At 54.1% G+C, this 8,274-nt stretch overlaps 1 pseudogene; it reads left to right on the top strand.

The window, feature by feature from the left end:
* Positions 2,143-3,127, top strand: ABCD1P3 (ATP binding cassette subfamily D member 1 pseudogene 3; annotated as a pseudogene).
* Positions 3,128-8,274: the final 5,147 nt, after the last annotated feature.

Here is an 8,274-nt window from a genome sequence, read left to right as displayed (position 1 = left end):
GAGGACCAACACCACACAGATGGCCCCAGCTGGCATGGGTGCTCTAGGGAAGGGGGCACCTAGCAGGGATGCGCACCTCATTGGGGGACCCAGGATACCCTCTCCCAGAGAAAAGGGGTCTGAGCTGAGCCCTGCAGAATGCTGAGTGGTTACCCCGTCCAGGAGCCAGGGGCAGCAGGGCAGAGTGCGGCCCGCAGCCTTGGTGGTGTGAGAGGCTGGCTCACAGAGGGCCCTCCGGACCAGGCGGGAGCCTAGGCTTTCCCTGAGCGGGATCAGACGCTCTTGGAAAGACCATGGGGCGGTGGGCAGGGGCAGCTTGGGAGGGGTAGGCACATGTGTGCAGTGATGGCTACCGTCAGGAGGTCTGTGCAGAAGCTTGGAGGGGGCTGGGGCCAGCAGAGTCGGGTGGATTCAGAGATGAGTTCACTGAAAAGGAGGCCAGCCTGAGCTGTTTTCTTGTCCTGGGCTTATCAAGGAATACTGCTTGTCCACAGTGTCTGTCGGGCCGGGAGAACGGAGGAGGAGAGGGGGGTGCAGCTACAGGGACACAGTAGATGGAGCGTTCAGTTCTGTCTTTGAATTCTGAGCCTCTGGGTTCTGCTTCCAGCCCCCACTGCTGGGTGCGAGATGGCCCTGGGCAAGGACCTCGCCTTGCTGGGGCTCCCCTTCATGGTTCAAGGGCATGGGCACCAAGCCCTCCCTCGGTGGCAACATGAGAAGAAGTGGCTCCTGCAGGAAATGACCAGGGTGTTGTCACCTGCCTGTGGAGGAAGCGGGAACACAGGTGGCGATGGTGGTGGAACAGCCCCTGGCCCGGCCCTGCCTCTTGCTCCTGCTGCCTTCGGCCTGGGAGCACATGGCCCCTCCCGCCTCTGTGGCAGCCTGAATGCCCAGGGCCTGTGGCCGGCCAGCATGAGCCGTTAGGATGGAGTTGAGCTGCGAGGAACAGAACCGGCCTCCCTGCAGTAGTGGCTAAGATCATCTGTGAGTTTATCCTACTGAGCTGTTAGGTCCCAAGAGAGCCAGGCCACAGTTGCCAGGGCTGGCCCTGCTCTGTGAAGGCCCCAAGGCTCTAGGATTTTCTACCATGTCACTCTGCTGTGTGTGGCCTCCATTCCCAAAGTCACCTCATGATCCAAGAGGGCTGCTGCAGCCCTCACATCATGTCCCAGGCTATAGGATGGAGGAAGTAGAAGGGAAGGGGCAAAAGGTATGTGCCTTCTATCTTTTAAGGAAGGTTCCAGAAGCCGCCATATTGAATAGTTACGGTTATATCTCATTGGCCACAACTTAGTCTCATGCTTACACCTCACCACAAGGCCACCTGGGAAGTGTAACCTCTACTCTGGGTGGCCATATACCCTGTCGCCACTTCTAGCCCTGGGCTGCTGGGGAAGGCAGCATGGGTGAGAAGACAGGAGGGGCTACTTCTGACACAGCGCCCCGGCCTAATGGAGCAGCCAGCTCACCTGCTCGTTCAAGCAGCCCACTCGAGCCTTGCCAAAGTGCTGGCACGGGGCAGTGACAGGAGGCCCAACCCCTGTGGGTGACAAGCCCCCGGTCTGGGGAGAGCACTCAGGCCGCTCTGGAGCTCTGTGCCAAGAAACTGTATGGGTGTCCTGGGGCTGCCATAAACCACAGGGGTGGATCATCTCCTGGATCCAGCAGCCCGAGATCCTGGTACTAGCAGGGTGGGTTCCTTCCAGGTGCCATGACAGAAGGATGTGTTCCAGGCCTCTGTCCTTGGCTCGCAGATGGTCCACTTCTCCCTGTGTATCTTCACCTCGTGTTCCCCTGTGCACGTCCTCTGCCCGCACACCCCCTTTTTATGAGGACATAGTCATATTGAATTAGGGTCTGCTCTGATGACCTCATCTTAGTGTGATCACCTCTGCGAAGGCCCTGTCTCCAAATAAGGTCACACTGAAGTGTTGGGGCTTGGACTCCACCATATCTCTTCTAGGGGAAGGCACAATTCCAGTCCCCACTCCTCCATAATTAATGTCTGTCAGACAGACAAGGGCGCAGAGGCACAGGGGCCCTGTCGTCACAGCTAGCTCATTCCCACAGCTGCCCCAGCTCCCCGGCTGGCCCCCAGGTCTGGGTACTGGTGGAACTGAGCCAAGACCATTGCCCCTGCCTAGGTTAGGAGGCTATGTGTGACTGGAAGGACGTCCCGCCGGGTGGCGAGAAGCAGAGAATCGGCATGGCCCGCATGTTCTACCACAGGTGAGCACTCCAGGCCGGCAGGCTCCCTGGGGTCCCCTGGAAGGAGAAGTAGCAGCTGTGGGGAGGCCTGGGCTCAGTGAAGCCTGAGCCAGGCTGGGGTGTTGGGCCCTGGAGGATGCACAGACTCTCCTCTCGGCCCAGACCCCCAGGCCCAAGTACACCCTCCTGGATGAATGCACCAGTGCCGCCATGAGAATCAACGTGGAAGGCAAGATCTTCCAGGCGGCCAAGGACGCAGGCATTGCCCTGCTCTCCATCACCCACCGGCCCTCCCTGTGGTAGGTGTCCTGTCTCCCTGCCTGGGGTCAGTGGGAGTGGCTGCCTGAGGGGAGGAGGTGGCCTGTTGGGCCCGGCGGCAGCAGCAGGCGGCTGTCATCAGCAGCCCTCGTGCCATGCCCCTGACCCTGTCCCTCTCCTGGCCAGGAAGTACCACACACACTTGCTACAGTTCGATGGGGAGGGCGGCTGGAAGTTTGAGAAGCTGGGCTCGGCTTCCCGCCTGAGCCTGACAGAGGAGAAGCAGCGGCTGGAGCAGCAGCTGGTGGGCATTCCCAAGATGCAGCAGCACCTCCAGGAGCTCTGCCAAATCCTGGGCGAGGCCGCGGCCCCAGCGCACGTGCCGGCACCTAGCCCACAAGGCCCTGGTGGCCTCCAGGGTGCCTCCACCTGACACCACTCTCCCCAGCCCCTGCCCCGCCCCCAAGCTCGGATCACATGAAGGAGATAGCAGCACCCACCTGCGCACGCACCCCGCCCCTGCATGCCTGGCCCCTCCTCCTAGAAGACCCTTCCCGACCTCGGGAAAGTAGATGAGGAGGGTGGCGCCCTGCGTAACCCTCGCCCTGTCCCTCCCACTCCCTGGGGGGGGGGCTGTTCCACAGTTACTGGGCCCTGTCCAGGGCAGTGAGTCCTCTACTTTGCTCCGTGGAGGAAGCTGGAGTGCAAGGGGCCCAGTGCTGGCCGCACAGCAGCGCAGCCGAGCCCCAGGAGCCCCTCAGGCCACAGCCCCTGGCGCTGCAGGTGGCATCCCTCCTCGTCAGTCTCTCAAAGACCCCACGATCCATCCCCTGAGGGTGGCCAGCCAAGGCTCCCATCCCATGCGATGCCATAAAAGCCACCCAGTGGTACCCACGGTCACACAGAGCGCCTCACCGGCATCCTCTCCCCCACAAGAGCCCCGAAGATCCCACGGGAGAGGGACGCACAGCACTGCCTGCCGAGCGAGAATGTAGGCCCCGCCCCCTCGGCCCCTCACCTCCTCTTTCTACAGCCTAATTTATTGGATTCCCTATTCGTAGCCATCTCCGTGGCCAATGTGACTACCCTGCCAGCAGCGGGGGCTGCCCAGCCTCTGAGTCCCCTAGGGCCCCGGCTCCCACTGGTGTCAAACCCAGCCCCTGTGGCCGTCACCCCGCCAGCCTACACTGCCAGCCGCCACCTGACCACACGGGCCTCTGCTTGCTAGCCGGGAGTGCGGACACCATGTTCCCAGCTCAGTGCCAAAGAGGGGTCACCAGGCGGAGCTGTCTGCAGAGCCAGCGCCTTCCTGAGAGAGACCCCACCGCCACCGTGTGCCTTTCCCGGGCCCTCAGCCCTCAGGCCGGGCGCCATCCCGAGTCCCCCCCAGTAAAAGCCTCCATTGGCAAATGCAGTCCTTCCTCCCTGCCTCAGAGTCTGGTGGTGTCTGCTGCGGGTCTTGGGGTGAGATGGAGGAGAGGGAGTGGGTTGCCTGTGGGGGAAAGAGTGAGTTTGGGAAAGGAGTGGGCCTGATCCCCAAGCCCTTCCGTGGGGGAAAGTCACCAGAAGACATGGCCCAACATGCCCTCCACCGAGCCTCACGCCAATGTTCTTAGGATTCCTGTGACGGTGGCGGGGCAGAACCTGCAACAACATTGCACAGAAATACTGGCTGAGCCCAAATAGGACTAGGGGACGGGATCATGCTGGTCCCTGTGGGAGGAGCACGAAGGCAAGAGAAAGGATGTCTAAGCTGCCACACAGGGTGCTGCTGGCCCTTCTAGGGAGAGGAGGCCACTTGTGCAGGGGCCTGGGGGGAACTGGGAGCACATTGCAGGGTGTTCGTGCTGCATGCAGGGGAAGGGAGGGCAGGGGAAGGGAGGGCTGCAGCTGGCGGGCCTTGGAGGCCACACTACAGAGACAGGACTTAGCCCAGAGGCCACCGAGGAGCTTTCAGCAACAGGGAAGCAGTGTCGAGTACTGCAGGCCACTTGGCTGCATGTGAGGGTGGCTGGTGGGAATAGGGTGTGGCAGCCCATCTGGCCTCAGAGGCATGAGAACTGAGAACAGCTGTGCGGCCATACCTTTATGCATGGATGGCCATAGCCTCCCAAAGGTGGGACAGCCTGAGTATTCATCAACAGACAAATGGACAAACAGCCTGTCCATAAGGCGTGGTGCCATTCCACCATAACACGACGGATAGACCTCAAAGAGTTCGTGCTGGGTGAAAGAAGCCAGACACAAATGTCCAGAATAGGCTCATCGGGACAGAAAGCAGATGAGTGGGTGTCAGAGGCTGGGGCAGGGGAAGGAAAATGGGGCAGGGGCAGTCCTTTTTAAAAAATTTTGTATTTATTTTTTATTTTTTAATGAGACAGACAGGGCCTCACCGTGTCACCCAGGCTGGAATGCAGCGGTGCAGTCATAACTCACTGCAGCCTTGATCTCCCGGGCTCAAGCAATCCTGCCCCAGCCTCCTGAGTAGCTGGAACCACAGGCGTGTGCCACCATACCCTACTAATTTTGTGATTTTTTTTTTTTGTAGACAGGATCTCACTATGTTGCCCAGGCTGGTCTCAAACTGCTGAGCTCAAGTGATCGTCCTGCCTCAGCCTCCCACAGTGCTGGATTACAGGCATGAGCCACCACACTCAGCCTCGCGTTTCTTTTTATTTCGAAGAAAATGTTCTGGAACTATAGAGCATACTAAATGCCACTGAATTGTGCACTTTAAAGGGATTGATTGTATATTTTGTGAATATCGCCTCAAAAACAGACAGATAGATGATTGATGGATAAATTGATACATAGATATATAGATATATAGACATGATATAGATAATTGATTGATAGATGATGGATGATTCATAGGTGCTAAGTGACAGATAAAATACATGATAGATACATGGATAGATAGATGAATAGAGAGCGATGATAGATGATTTAAAAATTTTTTTTAGAGATGAGATCTCACTATCTTGCCCAGTCTGGACTTGATCTGCTAGCATCAAGCAGTCCTCCTGCCTCAGCCTCCTGAGTTACTGGGACTACAGGCACATGCTACTGTGCCTGGTGATAGATAAATTATTGAAAGATAGACATGATAGAGGCATAAATGATAGATAGATGGATAAACATGATAAAGGATAGATAGGAAGATACATGGGATAGATCAATGATTGATTATAGAAGTAAATTATATAGATTAATAGATTACTGATTATAGATTAATAGGTGGATAGCTGATTGATAGATGACTGATCGATTGATTGGGTGACTGACTGATGGAGAGAGACAGAGAAGCAAGCTTAGCCATTGCAGCCACCCAGACAAGACATGCTGAGGCCTGGAGTTCCAGAAGGTTTGAGCAGTTGGAAGAACTTGACAGGCATGGGGGCAGCTTCTTCAGGGAGTGGAGGGGGCAGCAAGGTACCACTGGGTTCTGGTTGGAAGGTTAGGTGAGCGACAGCACCCTTGGTGGACAGAGGCAGCTCCAAAGGAGGGGCAGGCCTGGGGAGCAGGTGCAGCCCGAGGGGATGGTGCGTAGGCAGTTGGTTCAGAGCTTGGGGCTCCTCAGTGGGACATGGGTCAGCAGGGAGGCCAGTGGTCATTGAAGTTTGGATGGAGACAGCCTGGCTGAGGGGAGGGGCATGCTTGGCATCTCATTTAGGGGACAGGAGGTAGACTGTTTACCTGTATTTTGAGATTAGGATTTATTCCTGATCCCAGGAGGTGGCTGATTCGGAGGGCTGGGAGTTGTTCTTCCATTTCTTTTGACGATTGTGTAAGTCGCCCATGCTTGGTCATAAGCCCCTTTTGTTTATTTTTGACACATAGTTGGAATGGCTCTAATTACTACAGATAGAAGGAGACACATCTGGCAAAGACCATCCAAAAGGAAGCTAGTGGAGAGAAGCTCATATCGCACAAAGTAGGCTCCAGGGCAAAATCATTATTAGGATTAAAAGTGGTTGCAGCATACTGATGAGTATTCATTCCAAAGCATTCACTGGTGGGGGAGGGGTGGGGGAAAAAGAATAAATACATAAATAATTTAATTATTTTAAAAGAAGTATTAGTGGCCAGGCATGGTGGCTCACGCCTGTAATCCCAGCATTTTGGGAGGCCAAGGCAGGCAGATCACCTGAGGTCAGGAGTTCGAGACCAGCCTGAACAACATGGTGAAACCCCATCTCTACTGAAGTACAAAATTAGCCAGGCATGGTGGCTCATGCCTGTAGTCCCAGCTACTAGAGAGGCTGAGGCAGAACTGCTTGAACCTGGGAGGCGAAGGTTGCAGTGAGCCAGGATCATGCCATTACACTCCAGCCTGGGCGACAGGAAAAAAAAAAAAAAATGGAAGCATTAGCCATTCTGATCTTGTGTGTGCCTGCATAACAATAGAGCCTCAAATGACTACAAAACAAAAAAGTGTCAAGAAAAGGAAAAATTAATAAATGAGCACATTCTCTACGCAGGAAATTATACCACTTCTCACTGGAACTGCTCGTTTAAGCAGACTCAATTAGGAAGAATATAGAAAAATTAGGCCAGGCATAGTGTTTCATGCTTGTAATCCCAACACTTTGGGAGGCGAAGGCAGGCAGATTACTTGAGGTCGGGAGTTTGGGACCAGCTTGGCCAACATGCTGAAACTAAAATAAAAAAATACAAAAATGAGCCAGATGTGGTGGCTCATGCCTGTAATCCCAGCTACTTGGGTGGCTGAGGCAGGAGAATCACTTGAACTTGAGGTTTCAGTGAGCTGAGATCGTGCCCCTGCACTCCAGCCTGGGCAACAGAGTGAGACTCTGTCAAAAAATAAAAATAAAAAAAAAGAATATGGAAAAGTTGAACAAACTTGATTTAGTGGACACCCAAAAACTACAGACTACACATTGTTTTCAAGTTCACCTTGGACATTTACTAACACTCACCATGTCCTAGGCTGCAAAACAAGACTCAACAAATAGCAAAAGAACTTGCATCACACCAGCCATGTTCTTGATGCAACAGAATAAAGGCATAAATTGGCAACCAAACTAAAATTAAGGGCTCCCCTAGGTTTGGAAATTTAAAGATACACTACTGGCCAGGCACGGTGGCTCACACCTATAATCCCAGAGCTTCGGGAGGCCAAGGCAGGAGGATCCCTTGAGCCCAGGAGTTCAAGACCAGCCTGGGCAACACAGTGAGACCCCCCATCTCTATAAAACTAAATTAAATTATTTTTTAAATTAAAAAAAAATGCACTGGTCCGAGAAGAATTAGAATGAAAATCTAAAAGCATTTAGAACCAAACAATGAAAACTATGTACAAAAGCTTAAGCCATGTAGCCCAAGCAGTACTACAAGGAAACTAAAAAAAAAAAAGTGTGGCCAGGTGCAGTGGCTCACGCCTGTAATTCCAGCACCTCGGGAGGCTAAGGCTAGTGGATCACCTGAGGTCAGGAGCTAGAGACCATCCTGGCCAACATGATGAAACCCTATCTCTACTAAAAATACAAAAATTAGCTGGGCGTCGTGGTGAGCACCTGTAATCCCAGCTACCTGGGAGGCTGAGGCAGGAGAATTGCTTGAAACTGGAAGGTGGAGGTCGCATTGAGCCGAGATCGTACCGCTGCACTCCAGCCTGGGCGAGAAGAGTGAAACTGCATCTCAAAAAAAAAAGTATAAAAAATAGAAATAATATTATGAAATACAGAGGGATCTCCCTGCAGGCACCACTGGGAGCTGAAACATCAGGGGCACCTGGGGGGCGAAAGACATGAGTGGGAACAACTTCAGCCCTTGCTTCTCCTCCAA

The sequence above is a fragment of the Homo sapiens genome, chromosome 16 (genome assembly GCF_000001405.40).
Source record: "Homo sapiens chromosome 16, GRCh38.p14 Primary Assembly".
NCBI classification, from domain to species: Eukaryota; Metazoa; Chordata; class Mammalia; order Primates; family Hominidae; genus Homo; species Homo sapiens.
This window is presented reverse-complemented; position numbering and strand designations above follow the sequence as displayed.